At 47.5% G+C, this 22,873-nt stretch overlaps 9 annotated features.

Annotated features, from left to right (window-relative positions):
* Positions 3,340-3,719: an enhancer, noted in NCBI's record as "active region_3685". NCBI's record gives its function as "activates an Ori minimal core promoter by ATAC-STARR-seq in GM12878 lymphoblastoid cells {active_cell/tissue: GM12878}" and the evidence as "EXISTENCE:reporter gene assay evidence [ECO:0000049][PMID:35858748]".
* Positions 3,940-4,039: an enhancer, noted in NCBI's record as "active region_3684". NCBI's record gives its function as "activates an Ori minimal core promoter by ATAC-STARR-seq in GM12878 lymphoblastoid cells {active_cell/tissue: GM12878}" and the evidence as "EXISTENCE:reporter gene assay evidence [ECO:0000049][PMID:35858748]".
* Positions 5,448-5,547: an enhancer, noted in NCBI's record as "active region_3683". NCBI's record gives its function as "activates an Ori minimal core promoter by ATAC-STARR-seq in GM12878 lymphoblastoid cells {active_cell/tissue: GM12878}" and the evidence as "EXISTENCE:reporter gene assay evidence [ECO:0000049][PMID:35858748]".
* Positions 5,788-6,177: a silencer, noted in NCBI's record as "silent region_2563". NCBI's record gives its function as "represses an Ori minimal core promoter by ATAC-STARR-seq in GM12878 lymphoblastoid cells {active_cell/tissue: GM12878}" and the evidence as "EXISTENCE:reporter gene assay evidence [ECO:0000049][PMID:35858748]".
* Positions 18,108-18,650: an enhancer, noted in NCBI's record as "H3K27ac-H3K4me1 hESC enhancer chr10:88136831-88137373 (GRCh37/hg19 assembly coordinates)". NCBI's record gives its function as "activates a minimal SCP1, AML or CMV promoter by ChIP-STARR-seq in naive H9 embryonic stem cells {active_cell/tissue: H9 hESC(naive)}" and the evidence as "EXISTENCE:reporter gene assay evidence [ECO:0000049][PMID:30033119]".
* Positions 18,178-18,472: a silencer, noted in NCBI's record as "tiled region #15258; HepG2 Repressive DNase unmatched - State 4:PromP, and K562 Repressive DNase unmatched - State 8:EnhW". NCBI's record gives its function as "represses a minimal TATA promoter and a strong SV40 promoter by Sharpr-MPRA in HepG2 and K562 cells {active_cell/tissue: HepG2 | K562}" and the evidence as "EXISTENCE:reporter gene assay evidence [ECO:0000049][PMID:27701403]".
* Positions 18,209-18,268: a silencer, noted in NCBI's record as "silent region_2562". NCBI's record gives its function as "represses an Ori minimal core promoter by ATAC-STARR-seq in GM12878 lymphoblastoid cells {active_cell/tissue: GM12878}" and the evidence as "EXISTENCE:reporter gene assay evidence [ECO:0000049][PMID:35858748]".
* Positions 18,279-18,328: a silencer, noted in NCBI's record as "silent region_2561". NCBI's record gives its function as "represses an Ori minimal core promoter by ATAC-STARR-seq in GM12878 lymphoblastoid cells {active_cell/tissue: GM12878}" and the evidence as "EXISTENCE:reporter gene assay evidence [ECO:0000049][PMID:35858748]".
* Positions 18,432-18,630: a silencer, noted in NCBI's record as "fragment chr10:88136851-88137049 (GRCh37/hg19 assembly coordinates)". NCBI's record gives its function as "represses an EF-1alpha promoter that drives an FKBP-Casp9 reporter gene in an ReSE screen in K562 erythroleukemia cells {active_cell/tissue: K562}" and the evidence as "EXISTENCE:reporter gene assay evidence [ECO:0000049][PMID:32094911]".

Here is a 22,873-nt window from a genome sequence, read left to right as displayed (position 1 = left end):
GTGTGGTGGCTCATGCTGTAATCCCAGCACTTTGGGAGGCCGAGGTGGGCAGATTGCTTGAGCCCAGGAATTTGAGGCCAGCCTGAGCAACGTGGCAAAATCCCATCTCTACAAAAATAATAATAAAAAAAATTAGCTGGGCATGGTGGTATGCACCTGTAGTCAGTGCCAGCTACTCCAGAGGCTGAGGTGGGAGGCTCACTTGAGCCTGCAAGGTAGAGGCTGACAGAGAGAGACTTTCTCTCAACAACAATAACAACAAAATATATATGTAGGCTGGGAGCTGTGGTGCATGCCTGTAATCCAAGCATTTTGGGAGGCCGAGGCAGGAGGATCACTTGAGTTCAGGAGTTTGAGACCAGCCTGGGCAACATAGTGAGACTTCATCTACTAAAAATACAAAAAAACTAGCTGAGTGTGGTGGGGTGTGCTTATAGTCCCAGCTACTTGGGAGGCTTAGGTGGGAGAATCACTTGAGCCTGGGAGTGGAGGCTGAAGTGAGCTATGATCTTACCCCTGCACTCCAGCCTGGATGACAGAGCGAGACTGTCTAAAAAAAAAAAAAAAAAAAACAACAAACAAAATAACAACAACAGCAACAATTAAAAAAAACAAAAAACCAGGCTAAAATTCTCCCTGCCTTAAAAAAAGAAAAAGAAAAACAAACCTTTACTTCTGTAAACCCATAAGATTTGCACAACTTAAAAAGTCTGAAGTCACCTTTTTTTTTGAGACGGAGTCTCGCTCTGTTGCCCAGGTTGGAGTGCAGTGGCATGATTTTGGCTCACTGCAACCTCTGCCTCCTGGGTTCAAGTGGTTCTCCTGCTTCAGCCTCCTGAGTAGCTGGGATTACACAGGCTCGTGCCACCACACCCAGCTAATTTTTTATATTTTTGGTAGAGATGGGGTTTCACCATGTTGGCCAGGCTGGTCTTGAACTCCTGACCTCAAGTGATCCACCCACCTCTGCCTCCCAAATTGTTGGGATTACAGGCTTGAGCCACTGTGCCCAGCCCTGATGATACATTTCATTTTAAACTATCATTCAGGAGTAAGGGTAAAACAAGATTTTCAGAGAGGGAACCATAGGGAAGCTGGCGAGACGGGCAGAAACAGGAAATTGTGTACTCCGTTTGTTGGAATCTGAATCAGCCTACTATGTGGAGAACACTTTGTTAATCCTACTTAGATATCTGCATACTTTGTGGTAGAGACATTTGTAAGTATCTGCTCTAGGTAGAGACATTTGTAAGTAACTGCTCTAGAGAAACCTGTTCCTATGTTCGCAAGGGCATAAGTACCAAGACATTCACTGTGGCACTGTTGGCCATTCTAAAGAAGTGGAAAAAAACCGACTCTGCCCTGGAAGGGGAACAGGAGAGTGAGATGCGGCATTGTCTATCATCGAATACTCCAAAGCAGCAAAGCCAGACAGTATGAAACTCCGTCTGCCAACGCATCTAAACATCAAAAACATGATGCAAGATAAAAGCAAGCTGCAACACGATATACACAGTATTATCATAATTTATGTAAAGTGAAAGACACTGAAGCTATAATATACATCATTAATGGAAATATACACATATATCAAAGTGTAGAAAAGTCAGTTAGACCTTACAGCTGACTAACACAATAACCAATACTACACGTCAACAGCTGTGCCGCTGGGGCACGGGGAGGGGAGGGGAGGGAAGGGATGATCCTCAGCTCTCTCTATAGTGGTTTATTTCTAGCAGACAGAGAAACAGCTCCAAAGCAAAGGGATTTCATGGATTATTTCTGCATGGCCAGTAAGGGTGTCTGTTACTTCATTATTTCTCTGTATGTTTAAAAATTTTATAATGAAAATGTATTATCTCTACACGAGCACTTTTTATTTCCCCTGTGAATAATCAGAAGAGTTGGAAAATAAATAAGAAGGAAATAACTTTATCATTCTGCAGTTGAGTATAATTTGAAGTTTAATTCCTGACTGTCTATCACCCCCCACCCTACCAGTGCTGGAGAACGCCTGGGAGGAGGTGTGAGAGGCACGGCTGAGCCCAGTGGTTGTTTGCCCTGGTGCTCCTCTTGCTTCTTATGCTCACGACACTGCACCTTGATGTCCTACTCTACAGCAGTGCCCGCCCCACCCTTGCTGCCACAGCTCCACCCCTGGCCTCCGTGTCCTCCATTGCACATTCTTGCTTCATATTCCAAGCAGTGCTGCACACACACTGTGATGTCATTGTGCATCTCACTGTCAGAATACAATAACAAAATGAGCGTTTTAAAAAGAAGAATTGGGCCGGGTGCAGTGGCTCACACCTGTAATCGCAGCACTCTGGGAGGCCGAGGTGGGCAGATCACCTGAGGTCAGGAGTTTGAGACCAGCCTGGAGCCTGGCCAACATGGCGAAACCCTGTCTCTACTAAAAATACAAAAATTAGCTGGTGTGGTGGCATGCGCCTGCCAGCTACTTGGGAGTAATCCCAGCTACTCAGGAGGCTGAGGCTGGAGAATTGCTTGAACCCAGGAGGCAGAGGCTGCAGTGAGCTGCGATCATGCCACTGCACTCCAGCCTGGGCCACAGAGTGAGACTCCGTACCCCCACCCCCAACAAAAAAGAAAAAAAGAAAAAGAAAAATTAGCATTCCCCCCTCCCCTCTGATAGCTGGGTCCACCTTCCTGGCCCCACATCTTAGTGTTGGATGGCGCTGTGCTTGCTGACCACGTGTCACTTGCACACTTTCCCCAGCTTCAGTCTGCCAGGATAGGGTGACAGCATGGGGCCCAGGACCCACAGGGAGGAGACCAGCAGAGGCAGGTGGGATCAGGACTTGACCTTCCTCTTTCAATAACTCTAAATTAGTTCTTGCTACTTTCACTCGTTCAGGTTGACAGACTCCCTGAGACATGCAGACGTGACTTCCTAAGCATCATTCGTGCGTCCATCCCAGCCCTGCCGGACCATGTCTGACCTGGGCTCAGGATGGCACTGGCACCCAGGGGTGATTTAGGGGTTAGGTTTCAGCGGGCTCTACCTGAGGTGGGCTCAGGTCACAGAGCACAGCCAGGAAGGAGAACCAAGCTCTTCTAGAAGTGTATGGAAAGAGTTCCAGGAGGAAGAGCTGCCAGGCTGGGCCTGGAGTTGGCCAGGTACTGGGGTGGGGGAGGTGGGCTCCAGTGCTACGGCCAACCTCAGTGATGACGCTTCCCAGGTCGCAGCCTTCTCCTCTACTCCCACCCTGCCGCTTGCAGCCCCTCCACCTACCCCACCTCTAGCCTCCCCTTGCTCCCCTCCCCTTCCAGGGCACTCTCAAGGACTCTAGCCCCCAAGCTCCCTGCGTCCGCACACTTCTCTGAGCATCCCACCCTGATGCTTTGATAGACATGGGCTGGCCTAGGCCCTGCCCCTTCTTCAGTCTTCTCCAGTGTGGGGACGCCATTTCCTCTCCTGCTATCAGCAACCCAGGCCTGGGAGACGTGGAGTCTGTCCTTAGAGACAGGTCTCTAAGTTCTGTCCCCCGCTTAGAGCATTTCTCCTTTCCTTCCAGCTGTTCCCTCTCTCTAAACCCCTGACTCTGGTCTTGGGAGGACCGTGGAGCCTGTCTCACAGCTGTGAGTCCACTCTCTGGCTGGCACCTTCCTCTTCCCTCCTCCCTCAGAAGTGGCCCCTCCGGGCTCTGGTGCATCTTCTCTCTCCTCAAGGACCTGTTCCCATACCTCCTGCTTCCCTCTGCTCCCTCTCCTGGGGGCTTCCCCAGCCTCCCAACAGGCCCAGGAGGCCCTAAAAAGAAAACAAACCAAACTTCCCTTGACTCCACAACTCCTTCCGGCTACTATCTCTTCTCCTTCCCCTGTTTATATCTACAGGTGTTTTCTAATCTTAGTTGGTGACTCTACTGTCCATTTTAGCTTTTAGCTTCACCCAGCATCCTGTCTGCTAAGGTCACCAGGGACCTCCCGGGCCACGTGGAATCACCACATCTCAGTCCTTGACTTCTGCAGTCCCTTGCTCTGCCTCTTCCCTTGTTTCAAGCTCCAGCCTCTTCAGTTTGCTCCTGGATTCACTCCCGCACCAGGGCCACATGGTCTCAGTCTCCTTGCTCACTCCTCCTCCTCAGCCTGGCCTCTGAAATTGCACCCTACCCTCCCCTGCCCCTGCTCAGCTGCTCAGTTGCTCAGCTCCTGCCCTTCTCTTGCCACCTGACCTCCCTAGACCTGAGGTTCTCAATCTTAGCTTTGCACGAGAATCATCAGGGAGTTCTGCGAAATGCTGATGCCCAGGCTGATCGCGTCCAGGGGAGGGCCAGGGTCACTGGCATTTTTCCAACACTCTCAGGTGATGTAAGTGCTCTGTGGGGGCTGAGAAGCCCAACCCAGGGTGGTGCCTCCACTCTCAAGGCACCAGCATCGTGTCCTACACAGGTGCCTTCCAGCCTGACCCCTCCTCTGAGCACCACCTGCCAGTGTGACAGCTCCATCTGGCATGGGAAGCAAAAAAAAAATGTTACTTAAAAATCCAACGAGCTTATTAAGGAATCTGTGGCTGCACTCCGAGCTGGTCCCCACAGGCTCGTGGTTCTTCTTAATCAAGTAGTAAATCCTTTATAAGGTGGTGAGTGTCTCACCACAATCATATGATCTAGATGTTATTATTCCCAGTTTACAGATGAGGAAACAGGCACAGAAACTTGCCCAAGGCCATGCAGGTAGCAGGAGGTGGAGCTGGGATTACAAACCCAGACAGTTTTGGCTCAACAGTCCAGGGTCATAACCACAGTCCAGCTTCAGTGAGTCCTGCTGCCTTCACAGGGGACAGCGGCCGGCAAGGTTGGCTCCTTGGACTGGGCACACACGGCCACAGGGACAGGCAGGCAGATAATGGGACTGTCATCGCCACATACATGTGACAATCTCCTTTGCTGCTGCCTTTATGTTCCCATCCTTAAATACCTCTCCCCAGGATCAAGGCTGGCTGCAACATTTATCCAGGCCCAAACCCAACATAGACGGAGTCCAGCCCCACCAGGCATGGTAGCATTTTTTGTGATCTGGAGTAAGACCCTCTACTGGCAACTTCACTGGAAATTCCCTGGTAAGCGGTTTCTCCCAGTGATTTAAGTATTGGAACAGATTTGCTCTAATCTCATGAGTGTCAAAGTTTAATGGCCCCAAACTGCCTTCTGGAACGACCTCTCCCGCTTCCTGAAGCGGCAGCTCCTCTCTGCAGCTGCTTAAGCGAGAACCCTGGAGTCTGTGTTGGCTTTTTTTTTTTTTTTTTAATCGCCCCCACTTGCAATTAACTCATCCTCAGGTCCCATCGATTCTAACTCCAAAATCTATCCCTCTCTACGCCTACACCTGCCTCCACTCCCTGGTCCAGGCCGGCTCTGGCCTTGTTCCTGAATAACGCTTTTCACTTCCATTTCCCTCTCCCTCCCATCCAAGTCAGAGGTGTTTACAAGACAAATTTGATCCTGTTTCTCTGGTGACAAACAATTAAAAGTAGCAGTGGCACTTTGAGGAAAAGCCCAAATCCTCATTGGGGCCTCCAGCCCCTCCTCCTCTCAGCAGCCCTCCTGGCGAGTCCAGCCACACTGGCCTTCTGTCTGCTCCTTCAAGGAACAACCCAAGCCCCAGCTTCAGACGCCCCAGGCCCAGCCACCTCCTCGCTCTTTGCCTGGTTATTAACCCATTCTTCAGCTCGTCCCCAAGGTTCCTGCACCCTGAGCCCGCAGCTCCTCCCTGATGGCTCGCCGCGGGTCTCGGGCGCTGTCAGCCGGGTGGGCCGCAGTGATGGGTCAGACCAGGAAGGGGCGTGAGGTCGGGGTGGGAAGGTGACCTCAGGACCGGGCCCCGCGACTCCGCAGCCGCCAGCACCCAGGTGCGCCCAGCTGGCTCTGTCGCCTCCCGGCGGCAGCGGCGACCCTGGCCCTCAGTCTCTCCAGCGGACCCGGCGTGGCCCGGCGCTTCCCGGACCCGGGAAAAGGGGCCCAGCCGCGCTCCCCGAGCCCTGCGGTCAGCCGGCGTGGCTCCGGGACTGAGAGAATCCTAACGCCCAGACCTGGGAGCACAGGATCGGGGGCGGGGCGGGGCTTCCCAGCACTGGCCCCGCCCACCTTGGGCCATGTCCCCTCCTGTTTCCTGGTCGTAATCAGCTAGGTCTTCGCAGGCTCGGTGGTCAGAGACGCCTGATGCAAGTTCTCTGCCGCTTTACTATGCGGCGTGTGCAAGTCACCCTCATTCCTTTAATTAACATTGACCCTCTTCCACGTGCCAGGCGCCATTACAGGCACTGAGCATACCACCTGGAGCTTACAGTCTAGTGTAGGCAGATAGATAACAAGCAAATAGGTTTTTGTTTTGTTTTGTTTTAAGACGGGTCTCGCTCTATCGCCCAGGCTGGAGTGCAGTGGCACAATCTTGGCTCACTGCAACCTCTGCTTCCCGGGTTCAAGCGATTCTCCTACCTCAGCCTCCTGAGTAGCTGGGAATACGGGCGCGTGCCACCACGCCCAGCTTGTATTTTTAGTAGAGAGGGGGTTGCACATATTGGCCAGGCTGGTCTCGAGCTCCTGACCTCAAGTGATCCGCCCACCTCGGCCTCCTAAAGTGCTGGGATTACAGGCGTGAGCCACCGCGCCTGGCCACAAATAGGTTTTTAAAAAGCATAGACTGGGCCGGGCGCGGTGGCTCACGCCTGTAATTCCACAACTTTGGGAGGCCGAGGCGGGCGGATCACGAGGTCAGGAGATCGAGACCATCCCGGCTAAAACGGTGAAACCCCGTCTCTACTAAAAATACAAAAAATTAGCCGGGCGTAGTGGCAGGCGCCTGTAGTCCCAGCTACTTGGGAGGCTGAGGCAGGAGAATGGCGTGAACCCGGGAGGCGGAGCTTGCAGTGAGCCGAGATCCCGCCACTGCACTCCAGCCTGGGCGACAGAGCGAGACTCCGTCTCAAAAAAAAAAAAAAAAAAAAAAAAAAAAAAAAAAAGCATAGACTGTTAGGTGGTGATATTCCTTAGGGGAAAACATAGCAGGAAAGGGGATAGGGACCGCAGGAAAGAGGTCCTGCAGTTTTAAGTAGGATGGTCTGGGAGGCTTCCCTGAGAAGGGCAAGTGAGTGAAAACTTGAATGCAGGTATCTGTCTGGGGGAGGAGCTTCCCAGGTAGAGCAATCGGTAGGTGCAAAGGTGTGTTCCAGGGGCACAAATAAATAGGCCACTGTACTGAGGCAGAGGTGAGAGGTCTGGGGATGAGGATAGAGAGGAAACCCTCCTGCGGAGGGAGCTTTTCCTCTGAGGGAGGCGGGAGGCGGAAGGTTCTCAGCAGAGGAATGACAGGACGCGACACACTGTGTAACTGAGTCAGTCTGGATGCTGTTGCTGCAAACACGCGCAGGGGGCACGGGTGGATCCCAGGACCAGTTAGGAGCTCTTGCAATGAGGCAGGAGGCCTCGGGGGTGGTCGCGGAGGGGTGAGAAGGGGCTGGATTCTGGATCTTTATCCAAGCCAGAGCAGACAGGATTTGCTGCTGGCTTGGATGTGGGGTGGAAGGAGGGAAACAGAAAATCAGGGATGACTCTCAGGTTTTTGGCTTGAGCTTCAGAAAGGATGGAAGTTGCCGGGTGGGGAAGGCGGCAGCAGAAGCCGGTTTGGGGGTGGGGAGATGTGGAGCTCACTTTTTCTACACCTCCCATTGAAGATGAATATTCCACCTTTAAGTGGAGATGCTGGTTAGATGCTGGCTGTATCAGTGAGGCAGGACTTCACGGGGGGAGGGTTGGGGGTGGTGGGCTAGAAATCAAGATTTGGGAGTCATAAACGTAGAGATGGCATTTTAAAGCATTGGAACTGGATGAGATCATCCAAAGAGTGACCGAGAAAAGGTGGGTAGGGGAGATAGGAGAAGGAGGGACTGGAGGAGACTGAGCTGGGGCAGCCAGGAAGGCTGGAGAAAAACCAGGAGGGTGGGAGGAGGCCCCTAAAGCCAAGTGAAAAGAGTGTTTAAGAGGAGGGCTGCTCAGCTGTCCTAAATGCCACTGACAGTTCAAGAGGAGGACTGAGAGGCGACCATTGGATCTAACACCATGAGGTCATTAGTGAGCTTGACAGAGCAGTGTGGGTGAATGGTGGGGGGAAAGCTTGATTGGAGTGAGTTCAAGAGAGAATGAGAAGAGAACAGCTGGAGACAGCGAGTCTATACAAGCCTTCCCACAGTGTGCGCTTTGAAGGGAAGATGGGGAGCATCTGGAGGGATATGTGAGTGCAGGTCCTGCAGAGGCAGGTGGGCTGATGCAGGAGAGGGAGGCCTGGCGGAGCAAGGCCTAGTGCTGGCTGTCAGGAGGTGCTTCACCCACAGCAACGGGCAGGAGGGTGCGAATTATGTGCACTTCGCTGCAGCTAGGTGGAGCTTGTGGAAGTTCTCCTTTTTTCCTTAGGCTAACAATATTTTCTGAAAAGTGCATAAAACACAAATATGCCATTCTGTGAATGAAGTAGGTACTATGTAACCACCACCCAGGTTAAAAAAATTAAGGGGATTAACACCTCACACATCTTCCCAGTGCTGCTCTGCAATCATAATCCTTTCCTTCTGCTCTAGATATAACCACCATTCTGGCTACATTGATAGTATTTTATTTTATTTTTATTTTTGAGATAGAGTCTCACTCTGTTTCCCAGGTTGGAGTGTAGTAGCACCATCTTGGCTCACTTCAACCTGTGCCTCCTGAGTTCAAGCGATTCTCTTGCTTCAGCCTCCCAAGTAGCTGGGATTACAGGTGTGTGCCACCATGCCTGGCTAATTTTTTGTATTAATATTTTTAGTAGAGATGGCGTTTTGCCATGTTGCCCAGGCTGGTCTCAAACTCCTGGCCGCAAGTGATTCTCCCACTTCAGCCACTGAAAGTGCTGGGATTACAGGCATAAGCCACCATGCCCAGCTGACACTGATAATATTTAAAAAGTAGTTTTTTACTATCTCAGTGCATTCCTAAATTTGTTTTGGTTGTTATTTCTATTCATTTGAATAGAAGGCCACTAAATACGGTTGTTTTTTGTTTTGTATTGGTTTTGCCTTTTATTCAATGTCATGTTTGTGAATAGCATTCATGTTTTCTATAGTTTTAGCTTGTTCATTTTCATGGCTGCATAGGGGTCCATTGTAGAAACATATTGCAATGATCTATTTACTTACTCCACTAAGATGGAAGTTTGGGTTGTTTGCAGATTCTGCCTTTCACAAACAGTGCTGCTGTGAATGTTCATAGGTCTGTCACATGTGCCCTTGTGCAGGAGTCTCCCTAGGGTAGAGTGGAAATGCTGGGTCAGAGGGCATGTGTATCTGCAGCTTGAATAGGTGATGCCAAACTCTTTCCAAAGTGGATACATAATTTTACACTCCTATATTTTGATGGATGTGTAATGGCATCTCATTCTAGTTTTAATTTGCATTTCTCTAATCACAAATGAATTTTTTCTTTTGAAAAGTGCCTGTTCAAACGTTTTGTCCATTTTTCTATTAGGTTGTTATTCTGATTACGTACTGCTACATAGCCAACCACCCCAAAATTTTGTGACCGGAAAAAGCAGCACTAATTTCTTTTGCTCATGGGTCTTCAGCTTGAGCAGGACTTGTCCTCAGCTGTGATGACTCAATGGCTAGGGGCAGGGCTAGCTGGGGAATGGCTTCGTCACAGTGGGGCAGTCTCAGGTGTGCCCCAGAACAAGCATTGCAAGCACTGGGTGGAAGTGCAGGACTTCTTCTGACTTAGTGTTGAATGTCCCAGATGTGTTTTTTCAGTCAAGCAAGTCACTAAGGCCAGCCCAGATTCAAGGAAAGGGGAATTGGATTCCACCTTTCAATGAGAGGAATAGCAAAGAATTTGTAGTCAACTTTCATCTCCCCTGATTGTAGCTTTTTTTCATATTGATTTGTAGTTCGATATATATTCCCTCTGTTTAGAAGTATTTATTTTGGAGAGTTATTTTTTTATTTATACATTCTCCCATCATGGCTTTGTTTTTGCTCTCTTTATAGCTTTTCCCCCCTTTGTGGCTAATGCTTTTTAAGTCTTGTTTAAGTTTTCCCCTCCCTCAAGGTCATAAGAGCTGTCTAACTTTCTAATCACCTAAAGCTTTCTGAATTTCTCTTTCTATTTAGGTCATTAATCAACCTGGAATTTAATGTATGGTGTGAAGTAGGGATCCAATTTAACTTTTTCCTCATATGGATATGTCAGTGTCATTTATTAAGAAGAACGTCCATTCCTGTCTGCTCTGCAGCACCACTTTGGCCAGATAGCAAATGTTTGTGTATGCAAGAGTCCTTTCTGGGCTCTCTATTCTGTTCCATTCTAATCTTCTATCTTTGAGTCAATACCACACTGTCTGAATTTCTATTTATAATAGATCTTGACATCTAGCAGAATAAGTTCTCCCATCTTGCTTTTCTTTAAAAGTGTCTTGGCTATCTTATTTTTTTATACTTCTCAATACATTTTAGACTCACTTTACAAGTTCCACAAAACATCTTTTGAATTTCTGATTTAAACTGACATCTGTATCATATTTGTTCTTCCAATATTTATTTATAGTGTATCCCTTCATCTATGTAGGTCTTCTTAAAGCTTCTCACTGCACCTTTTTTTGTTCCATAGAATCCACAGGTTTTCAAATATTTTTCCTCCTTCAATCCTTTACAATGTGGTGAATATCACTGATTTTTTAAAATGTTAAGCCAATTTTCATTACTAGAATACATAAAATTTGGTCATGATGGATTATATATTTGTAATATATTTATATTTTATTTACATATCTTTTGATTTGGTTGGCTAATGTTTGATTTAGAATTTTTGCATTTACTTTCATGAAAGTGAGTGGCTTGTGATTTTCATTTCTCTAATGTCTTTGTCAGGTTTTAATATTGCTCTGCTGGCATCATAAAGAAGTTGGGATGGTTCCTCTTTTTCTTTTCCTTTTTTTTTTCTTTTTTTTGAGACGGAGTTTCGCTCTTGTTGCACAGGCTGGAGTGCAATGGCACGATCTTGGCTCACTGCAACCTCTGCCTCCCGGTTCAAGCGATTTTCCTGCCTCAGCCTCCCGAGTAGCTGGGATTACAGGCATGTGCCATCACGCCCGGCTAATTTTGTATTTTTAGTAGAGATGGGGTTTCTCCATGTTGGTCAGGCTGGTCTCCAACTCCTGACCTCAGGTGATCTGCTCGTCTCGGCCTCCCAAAGTGCTGGGATTACAGGCGTGAGCCACCGCGCCCTGCCTGGTTCCTCTTTTTCTGGTCTATGGAAAAGTTTGTGTAACAGTGACATTGTTTCTTCCTTAAATGTTTGGTAGAATTCACCAATGAAACCATCTGGGCTTCAAGGATTTACATTTCTTTAATAATTGTAAGACTGCCCAAGTTATCCATTTCCTCTGGTATAAATTTTGGTAAATTGTATTTTAGAGAGAAATTTATCCATTTCATTTGAATTTTCAAATATATGTTCATACTATTTTCTTATTTTTTGATGTCTGTAGGATCCTTGGTTAACTTCTTTTTCTTACTCTTGCTTAGTTATTTTCATTCTCTCTCTTTCTCTTTTTCTCTCTTCCATTTTGATCAGTCTTGCCAGGATTTTTTAACTTTGTTAATAGTTTCAAAGAAATGACTTTTGACTTTTAAATTTTATTTTGATTTCTCTATTGCATGTATTATCTTTCATATTTTATTAATTTATACTCTCGACTTTTTTATTCTACCTTTTTGGGTTATTTTACGTTTCTTTTTCTAATGTCGGAAATGGACACTTTTTCATTAATTTTCTGCCTTCCTTCAAGACTATAAATCTTCCAAATACATAAAAGGCTACTTAGAGAGAAGCATGAGTTTTGATATGTGACATTTTTGTTATTCTTCTGTTGTAAATATTTTCTTTTTTCTTTTTCTTTCTTTCTTTTTTTTTTTATGAGACGGAGTCTCGCTCTGCCACCCAGGCTGGAGTGCAGTGGCGCGATCTCGGCTCACTGCAAGCTCCGCCTCCTGGGGTTCATGCCATTCTCCTGCCTCAGCCTCCCGAGTAGCTGGGACTACAGGCACCTGCCACCTCGCCCGGCTAATTTTTTTGTATTTTTAGTAGAGACGGGGTTTCACTGTGTTAGCCAGGATGGTCTCGATCTCCTGACCTCGTGATCTGCCCGCCTCGGCCTCCCAAAGTGCTGGGATTACAGGCCTGTTGTAAATATTTTCTAATTTTCATTTATCATGTTCTTTTTGTATACTGAGTTGTTTAGGAATGTATTTCTTAGTTTTATTTTTAATATTAATTACCAAGTTAATTACATTGTTGTCAGAAATCATGTTTAATGGCCGGGTGCAGTGGCTCACCACACGCCTGTAATCCCAGCACTTTGGGAGGCCAAGGCGGGTGGATCACCTGAGGTCAGGAGTTTGAGATCAGCCTAGGCAACACGGTGAAACCCTGTCTCTACTAAAAATACAGAATTAGCCGGGCGTGGTGACACATGCCTGTAATCCCAGCTACTCCGGAGGCTGAGGCAGGAGAATTGCTTGAACCTTGGAGGCGGAGAATGCGGTGAGCTGAGATCGTGCCATTACACTCCACCCTGGGCAACAAAAGTAAATCTCCATCTCACCAAAAAAAAAAAAAAAAAAAAAAGAAAAAAAAAAGAAATCATGTTTAATACTATTTCAATCAAACATTATCTTTTTTTTTTTTTTGAGATAGAGTCTTGCTGTTTTGCCCAGGCTGGAGTGCAGTGGTGTGATCTTGGCTCACTGCAACCTCCGCCTCCTGGATTCAAGTGATTTTCTTGCTTCAGCCTCCTAAGTAGCTGAGATTACAGGCATGCACCATCATGGTGGGTTAATTTTTGTATTTTTAGTAGAGATGGGGTTTTGCCATATTGGCCAGGCTAGTCTTGAACTCCTGACCTCAGGTAATCCGCCCGTCTCGGCCTCCTAAAGTGCTGGGATTAAAAGCATGAGCCACCGCACCCGGCCTAAACATTATCTTTTTGTAAATGTTCATGTATGCTTGAAAAGAAACTGTAGTCTGCTCTTGTTGAGTGCAGCATTCTATATGTGTCCACTAGATCAAATATGTTAATAATATTTTACAGATGGTTTATTTCTTCCCTGAATTGTGACGGCTTTTTACTGCTTTTCTTGTCTATACTGAGAGACTTGTGCTAAATTCTCTCACTGTGATGTTGGATTTGTCTTTCTTTTTGTAGATATATAATTTTGGACTTTATATATTTTGTGACTATGTTGTTAAATGCATACAAGTATAACATTTTTATGTCTCCCTTGTAAATGAAATATTTTATCATCACATAATAATCCTCTTTATCTCTAATAATACTTTTTTGCCTTAAAGTCTACTTTGTCTGATATTGCTATAGCCACAGTAGCTCTTTTTTGGTTAATGCTCACATGGCACATTATCCTTATTCCTTTTACTCTCAATATTTCTTTATTTTTATATCCTAAATGTGACTTTTGTCACATCTAGATTTTCACAAAAAATCCAATTTACTAACATTTGCAATTTGACTAAAGCATTCAATTCTCTTACATTTAATATACTTATTAATGTATTTTTGTTTTTAAAATATCACTTTATTTTGGGCTTTCTGTTCTGTTTCTCTTTCTTGCTTTCTTGGGCTCAACTGTATTTTCTTGGACTTCACTGTACTTTATCATACACTTTTCCATCCAAAGTTATTGTCTCCTTTTTTGTGTATGTGTTTTCCTTCAAAATTAAAATCTGCATACTTAATTTACCAAAGTTTACAGTTAATGAATACTTTTGCCATATTCCCCAGACAATCCCTGTATTGTCTTATATTTTAGTTCTTATTTTTTTGTATGCCATAGGCATCACTGTTCTAGACAGTGTTCATTTATATTCACCCATGCATTTAAATGCTCATTGCTTTTCACTCTTTCCTGTGCATAGGTCCTTCCATCTGGGATCACTTTCCTTCTGCCTGAAATAGCTCCTTGAGCATTTCCTTTAGTGAACGTCTGCTTCTAATTGAACTCTCAGAGTTTTTGTTTGCCTGAAAAATCTTTATTTCATCCTAATTCTTGAAAGACATTTTTTTCCTTAGTGTGGAGTTCTAGGGTAGAAACATTCTTTCAGCTCATTGAAGCTACCACTCCACTATCTTCCGCCTTGTTATGTGTGTACTGTTGTTGAGAAGTCAGCTGTCAGTTTAAGAAATCTGTTTTTTCTTCTCTAGCTGCTTTTACAATTTTTCTCTGTATCTTTGGTTTTCTGCTGTTTCACTATGATGGATCCAGGTGTGAATTTCCTATTGACCAGGAGTTCTAAAGTCACGTGGGTGGATTTCAGCAGTTGGGGAGGGCTGGGAGGTAGGATCAGACAAGGAGATGCCTACAGCTTGTAGGGGATTGATCTGGGATGCCACATCATTAAGCCTCAGTTGTGTGCTCTGTAAAAGAGGGTTGATGATATTTACTTTGCATCTCCGTCTTCATTCAGTAAGCATTGATTGAGAACCCACTAGGTGCTAGACCCTTTCCTGGGTAATGGGAACACAAGATGAGTCTCAGCTTTTGCGACTCTTCCAGCTAGAAGGGGAGGCAGGTGTGAGAACAGACATATATGATGGTGGGTGCTGCAGCCACAGGTGGCCCAAGGATGGGTCACTTCCACATGGGGTTGGGGGTGTAGGTAATAAAGACTTCCTGGTTCATGGAGTTTCAACTTCATCTTAAAAGCCACATACATTTCTAGGGGGCCATCCACGAAAGAAGGCATTCCTAGGAGAGGGAACAGCAAGGGCTGAGAGGTGGGAAACAGCGTGGCTCATTAGTGTTACCGAATTGTTTTACACTTTGGGGTTGGGAGCCCTTTGGAGGGCTTCTGTTCTAGCCAGTAATCTTTTTGTTGCCAGTGACCATAACACATGGCAGAAACTCACACTGCAAAGGCAGAGAGGGCAGGGGAACAGCCACCACCTCTTGCCTGTGCTTCTCTGGTTCCTTCCACCCATCAGGGATCATGTCTGCCCACCTAGCCTGACTTCACATCTTACATACCCATCACCTATAGGGCCGGATTCTCTTTATTCTAGTTAAAGCATTCTGGAGGAGGGTGCTGATTGGCTAGTTTGGAGTAGGTGGCCATCTTCAGACCAATCAGACATAGTCAGGGCCTGGGTCTTCTACGACCTCGGTCATTCCTGCTACAGCCCCGTGTTGTTTTGATGGCGCAGCTCTCAGGGCAGGGGGCATTGCCTGGGGCCGGTCCTGCAGAAATTCACTACAGCCTAAGTGCTGTGGAACTTGACCATTGTTCTGCAGACAGAGGGCCTAGCAAAGGGTTTGTGTGATTTTATATTATTTTTATTTTTAATTGTGATAAAATACACATAATATAGCATTTACCATCTTAACCATTTTTAAGCATACAGTTCAGTGGCATTAGGTACATTCACATTGTTGTGCAACCCTCACCACCATCCATCTCCTGAACTTTTTCATCTTCCCAAACTGAAACTCTGTCCCCATTAAACAACTCCCCATTCTCATCTTCCCTCAGACCCTGGCAACCACCATTCTACTTTCTGTCTCTGTGAATATGACTACTCTAGGTACCTCCTATGAGAGAATCATACAGTATTTGTCTTTTCTTTTCTTCTTTTTAGATGACGTCTCACTCTGTTACCCGGGTTAGAGTGCAGTGGTATGATCTTGGCTCACTGCAATCTCTGCCTTCAAGGCTCAAGCCATCCTCCTGTCTCAGCCTCCCGAGAAGCTGGGACCACAGGTGTGTGTAACCACGCTCGGCTAATTTTTTTGTATTTTTTGTTGAGATGGGGTTTTGCCATGTTGCCCAGGTTGGTCTCAAACTCCTGAGCTCAAACAATCCACCTGCCTTGGCCTCCCAAAGTGCTGGGATACAGACATGAGCCACTGAGCCTGGCCAGTATTTGTCTTTTTGTGATGCGCTTATTTCATTTAGCATAATGTCCTCAAGGTTCGTCTATGTTGGAACATGTGTCAAAATGTCCTTCCTTTTTAAGGATGAATAATATTCCATTGCATGGATGGACCACAGTTTATCCATCATTTGTTGATGAACGCCTGGGTTTCTTCCACCCTTTAGCTATTGTGAATAACATTGCTATAAATATGGGTGTACAAATATCTCTTTGAGGACCTGTTTTCAATTCTTTTGGATATATACCCATAGTGGAATTGCTCGATCATGTAAAAGAAAATACAATTTCAGAATCCTCTAAATTTATTATACCAAGGGGGAAGGCTCATTCATGTAACTTGTTTGCAATCCTGCTTCTTAGATTATAGATTAAGGCCGGGCATGGTGGAGCACGCCTGTAATCCCAGCACTTTGAAAGGCCGAGGTGGGTGGATCACTTGAGTTCAGGAGTTCGAGACCAGCCTGGCCAACATAGTGAAACCCCGTCTCTACTAAAAATACAAAAAGTAGCTAGGTGTGGTGGCGGATGCCTGTAATCCCAGCTACTTGAGAGGCTGAGACACGAGAATTGCTTGAACCCAGGAGGCAGAGGTTGCAGTGAGCTGAGATCACACCACTGCACTCCAGTCTGGGTGACGAAGTAAGACTCTCTCTCAAAAAAAAAAAAAAAGAAAAGAAAGAAATTAACTCTCTTACTCATTGCTCTTGTTCTGTAAATGACTAGGGGAGACCAGAGACCATAACTCCCCCCTTCCAGTCACTGATCTTTGTTATAAATTAACTGCCTTTTTTATTGTCCTGTACCTAACTTAGACCAGATAGCAGCCAAGACCCCATGATAGTTATATCTTCAGTGTGGAATGTTAAGTGTACCTTTCCCAGAAGAAAAAGACCATCTTGACTAATCAGATCATTGTAACTATGTATTAAGTCTTACATAAAAAGATGTTAAATGTTCTGTTAAGCTTCCCTAAACTTTATCTGTATGCACGATCCTAAACTTCTACACTTTGGATCTACACTGACTTCCATCCTTTGGAATCTTTGCTTCCTGGACCACTTGTCCTTGAACTTTGCACTTAATATACTCTTTAAGTGAGATTTTGACCCTTTCGGTTAAATTGAAAATCATATGGTAGTTCTATTTTCAATTTTTTGAGAAATGGCCTACTGTATTCCATAGCGGCTGCACCCTCTTACGTTCCCACAAACAATTCACAAGGGTTCCAATTTCTCCACATCCTTGCTTGATTTATTGATTGATTGTGATTAGTGTGTAATGGATGTGAGGTGGTATCTCATTGTGGTTTTTATTGCATTTCCCTAATGGCTAGTGATGTTGAGCATCTTTTCATGTGCTTATTGGTCATTTATATCTCATTTTTGGAGATACGTCTATTCATGTCCTTTGCCTGATTTTTTAATCAGGTTGGTTTTGTTGTTGAGTTGTAGTAAAGAGCTTTAAGTAGGACTGTCACAATTTGACTTACTGTTTTGACAGAGCTGAGCCTGAAACTTTGGCAGGAATCAGGGTGAGGGGGAAGCGGCAAGAACTGGGGGCTGCCAGGACAGATGCTGCACACAGTGAGCTCTTCACAAAAGCTGAGCTCACCCAGGCCCTCTTCCTGCTTCGGATCTTGGATGGCCTGAGGAGGAGGACACTGGGGTCACCTCTTTGGATCCTGGCCTTTTAAGGCTCTCAGGGAAGGCTCAGGCAGTCTCCAACAGACCCCTGGGAAATCCAGGGTCCCAGTCCCTCCGTGTGTGGTCCAGACGGAGAATGGTTAATGATCCACGCTATAGGACGCCTGCCTGTTATTTGCAGCAGGGGCTGACCATGGGGGTTGGGCTCTAGAAATCCGCAGGAATTTACACAGGGGTGCTGGGCTGTGTAAAGTGGATCCCCCACTGGCTTTTCTGACTGGCAGATAGTTCAAAGACGTGGGCTGGGGAGCCAGAATGCCTGGGTTCAAATCCTATTTTGCCACATACCAGCTGGGCATGTTACATAACTCTCTTGTGCCTCCATTTACTGCTCTGTAAAATGGGAATAATAAGAGCGCCTCCCTTGTGAAGGATTGGGTGAGGATTACATGAGTTAATGTATGCAAAGCATTAAAATAGTGCCTGTCTCGTAGTAAACGCTATGTAAATGTGGGCTATTGCTGTTATTTTCACTGAGACCAGGCCCTGTTGGGCTTCCCACCGCCCATCAGCGTGCAGGCCTTCCGGACCACGTAGAGGTGCGGTTATCCTTGGGACAGGTCCTCCCTCCTGGGGCGGCTCGCGCGGCAGCGCCTGGGGCCCGTTCCCGCGGTTGCCGGCAGGGGGCAGCATTGCACTGCGGCTGCTCCTGGGCGGCGCCGGCGACTGGGCTTGGAAACCGCGCCTCGCGGCGGCCTGCGCCCTCGCTGCGTCCCTCGCGCTGTCACCTGCGGAATCGGCAGACCAGCCCGTGTAGCCGTCAGCCCAGTAGGGCGGGCACGGGGGCCGGAGACCGCTGTCTCTGTTCAGCCCGGGGTCTCTTGGGGCAGGGCGCCCCACCGCCTCTTCCATGAGGTTCTCCAGCCCTCAAACCCCCGGCGCGCGTGGCTATTTCTCGGCCCCTCGTGGGGCCTGGAGGCCCTTGACCATTCTTGGTCCGTGCACAATCCCCCCATCTGTGAAATGTGGGCAATTGCGCGGTGGCTCAGGGCGCGGCCCAGGTCAGGCACAGAGTGAGGGTCGGGAGATGTTTGGACAACCCCCACCTCGGCTTTCATTAGGTTGCGGACGAGCTGGGCCTGAGCGGGGCATGCGGGCGCGCGCGGCCTCTGGGGAGGGAGTGTGGCGGAGAGGATGCGCGGGCCGTGTGGTCCTGATCTGGGCTTGAGCCCACCCCATGCTTGAACCTGCTCTGGGCCTTTGCTTGTGCTCAGCCTGCTTCCTGGATGGCCCCTCCTTCCTCCTTATTCAACTCCCTCGGGCATCTCAGAGTCCGTAACAGCCTTCCAGGTCTCAGGGCCTGGCATTAGCTTCCCTTCCCTGCCAGTCCCCAAAAACGTCCAGTCCTCGCCTGGGCCTACCCAAGGTCTCCCCTCACCCCCAACCACCAGGCTCTGGGTCCACATTAGGACTTGTGTCTGTCCTGCCCACCATGACCCTTAGCAGGGGATCACGGGGATGGCCCGGCCTCCTGTGAAGGAAGGTCAGCTCCATGATTCCAGATGATTCCAGTCTGGAAATCTCGTGGACTCCAGAAGTCTAGCCTTTGGCTACTCTCCCCAACATTTCCTGGAGAGGCTTGATCACTGGCCCATAGGCCAAGGAGACCCTCCCTTCTATGGTCACAGACCTTCAACAGATGATGGTAGATGCAGGCCGCTACCCTCAGGTGACCCCACAAAGAGCCACACACTGGCAAAAGAACAGTCAGTGTTCCCAGTGGGTAGGAAATGCACCCTAAAACAACTTAGAGATGCAATTTTTCATTTATCAAGAATGAAACAAAGAATAACGCTTAGTGTTGCTGAAGGTGCAGAGAAGCAGACACTTTCATGAATTGCCCATGGAAACGTAGACTGGTTTTAAAAACAGCTTTGGAGGGCAATTTTGGAACTATGTATTAGAGACTTAAATGACGCATAACCTTTGACCCAGCAATTCCACTGCTAGGTATTTATTCTACTAAGGAAATAATTGCATAAAAGCTGAAAATGCATGTGTAAGTATTTTTTACCGAAGCACTGTTTATAATGGTAAAAATTGGGGAGAATATTCAATAGCAAATGAATGATTAAATAATGTATGATAGCTCCATGGAATAGAACTGTAATCAGCCATAAAAAAAAATCACATTTTTGGAAGAGAATTTCATAGCAGAGAGAAATGCTCACATTAAAATGTTCATTCATTCACTAATTAATTGATTTAACATTTATTGAGTATCTTTGAGACATGCCAGGTATTCTTTTAGGCACTGAGAATACAACTGTAAATAAGATAAATACTATCGTCCTCCTTATTGGGCTTTCCTTCTATAGGTGGAGACAGGCAAGAAAGAGGTGAAAAATAATTTCAGGTAGTAATATTTTTGTCTGTTTCTCTTTCAAAATTATACTTGAATAGAAAAAAGGATGGGAAGAAGAGCATCACAATGTCAACGGCGGTTATTTCTGGTTGGTGGTATCAGGTAGGATTTGTGTTAAGTTACGAAAAACTGAGAAATTCACTGCAGAAGCTTATAAAGACCAGGGTCTGATTGGCTCCTGTGTCCTGGGCTGATAAAGCAGCCTCGCTCTGCCCTCCTGGAACGCAGGCTGTGCATGCCCTGCTTGGCTTCTGAAGGTCACAGGACGGCAGGCTTTCCTCCGGGTCTCCTGTCTACCTTCCAGCAGGAAGAAGGGGGAAGGCAGAGGAACAAACTCTTTCTCCTCCGGAGGCTCTGCCTTTTATTTTATGTGAACAGAGCTTCAGCCAAGGTCTCATTGGTCAGAATGGGCCACTTGGGAAGAACATGGAGGCAGTGTCATGGGTTATCATCATTTTCTTCTTCACATTTTCTGGCATTTTCTAAATCAAACAAGACATTAAAACAAGCTTCTGTGTGTAAGAAATAAAGGACTTTTTGTGTTTTAAGAAACAAGGTTGGGGTGGATTGCTATGTGGGAATGGAGGGCAGAGGGCAGGCAGTCGCAGCCAGGCTCAGACACAGCTGCTATGGGTGCGGCGGTCCTGGAGGTCTCTCTCACTAATTTCCATCCGCCTGGGTCCTGTAGGCCCTTGCAGGCTGGCGCAGTCCTCAGAGGACACGGTGGAGTGCAGGACCATGGCTGTCCCTGGGAGGGCCTTACCTGTCTGCTGGCTGCCTTGCTGGCTGCCCTAACTCTCTCTGTTTGCTGGTGTCCAGGAGGGCTGTGTGGCTGCTGGGGTGAGCGTGTGCAGCCTGGGCTCATGCTGGGCTGGCTGGACTCACTGGCCCTGGGGCCTTTCTCCCAAAAGGAGCTGGGATTTGTTCCGATGTGCAGGGCTGGTGGGCCATGTCAGGCTAATCTCAGTCTGCGTCCTGGCCTCTTCATTGTGTTCATTTCCTGTGGCTGCTGTATGAAATTTCAGCTTCTGGTGGCTGCCCGCGTTCCTTGGCAGGGGGCCGCACCCCTCCCATCCCTGCCTCTGTGATCACATGGTCTTCTCTGTGTCGTCCTTCTCTGAGTCGTTCTTAGATGGACATTCATGATGGCATTTAGGGCCCACTTGGACAATCCAGGACCATCTCCTCATCTGCAGATGTTTGACTTAATCAAATCTGCAAATCCTCTCTCCAAATAAGGTCTCATCTACAGTTTCTGGGGATTAGCATGTGGACATCTGTTGGGGGCTATTTTTCATTAACTGTTCAGTGACTACTGCTCTGAGACTTGATGATCTCATCTGTAGAGTGGGGATAAAAGTCCCATTCTCACAAAGTCTTGAGTCAATCACCAACAGGCCGTGAGCAGGCACTCGGCAGGCAACAGTGAATGTTCCTCAGTGGTTGAGCCCTGCCCCTCCCCTCTGACCGCTGAGGCTGCTTCTCCCTCCCTTTCCCTTGGTGGTTGATCTGCCCTGGTCTTGGAGACAGTGAGAGGACCTGGGTGGCAGGCCTGCCGATGGCCTCTGATCCGCAGGCCCTTTTTCCCCATTTCCACCTCCTTCTCCTTCCACTGCCTGTCCCCACAGTGAGGCATGTGTGCTGCCGTGGGGCACAGGCCTTGTGCTTGGCAAGGGTTAAGCATATGCAGGTTCCCCTCCTTCCCTGAGAGCCTCCCCGGGGGCTTCTGCCTCCTCCCACTCCCTCTTCTGTTCTCTCATATCAAAGCTCCCACCAGGCTCGGTGGCTCAGGCCTGTAATCCCAGCACTTTGGGAGGCTGAGGGAGTCGGATCACTTGAGGTCAGGAGTTTGAGACCAGCCTGGCCAACCTAGTGAAACCCCTTTTCTACTAAAAATACAAAAATTAGCCAGGCGTGGTGACACGCACCTGCAATCCCAGCTACTTGGGAGGCTGAGGCAGGAGAATCACTTGAACATGGGAGGTGCAGGTTGCAGTGAACTGCGATCATGCCACTGCACTCCAGCCTGGGCAACAGAGCAAGACCGTCTCAAAAAAAAAAAAAAAAAAACAAAAAAAAAACGAAGCCCAAAAACAAAAGACATCTCTGGGTCCCTCTCTATTTTCCAGACAGATCTCTGGCAAGTCAGGGACTTTGCCCAAGGTTGCCTAGCACATTGGCAGTGGATTCAGGGCCTTTGCCATGTCCCTGCCTCATCTGAAGGAGTGCCAGGCAGCCCTTGCTCCAAGCCAAGTCTCCAGGAGCCTCCTGGGAGGTAGTACCTCCCCCATTTAGGTTTATAGGGTGCTAAATGCACTATGGTGCACCAGATAGGAAAAATCAATCACAATTTCACTTCATTGCCGGATGGAAGAGGAGGTTTACAGACCAGATAACCTGCTCTTGGAAATGGGTGTGTCCATATATAGGGTGCCCAGATCCATTAGGGGCTGCGTTTAGCTGGAGGGCTGGGTCTGGGGAAGGGGCTTTCTGTTGGATGAGCAAGGGCTTCAGGTGGATGCAGCTCCCCCATCCCTGATCCCTTGGGAGAGTCGGGGACTCGGCTCTGAAAGGCTGTGGGCTGGTGGGAGCCCCTGTGCTGCTCCCAACTTAGGATGGGATGAGGAGGGGTGTGGTGGGGTGGACCTGTCACATCCATTGAACAAAATGTCTGTGCAGCTCCTGGCCTGCTGTGCAGGCTGACATTTAGGTATCTCATCTTAAACAAGGAGCAGGGGGCGACTGGTGAGCAACAAGGCCCCACTCTATGTGTGGACACCTGCAGCCTCATTCCTGGGAGGGCAGAGGACATATGACT

Source organism: Homo sapiens, chromosome 10 (assembly GCF_000001405.40).
Source record: "Homo sapiens chromosome 10, GRCh38.p14 Primary Assembly".
NCBI lineage: Eukaryota > Metazoa > Chordata > Mammalia > Primates > Hominidae > Homo > Homo sapiens.
This window is presented reverse-complemented; position numbering and strand designations above follow the sequence as displayed.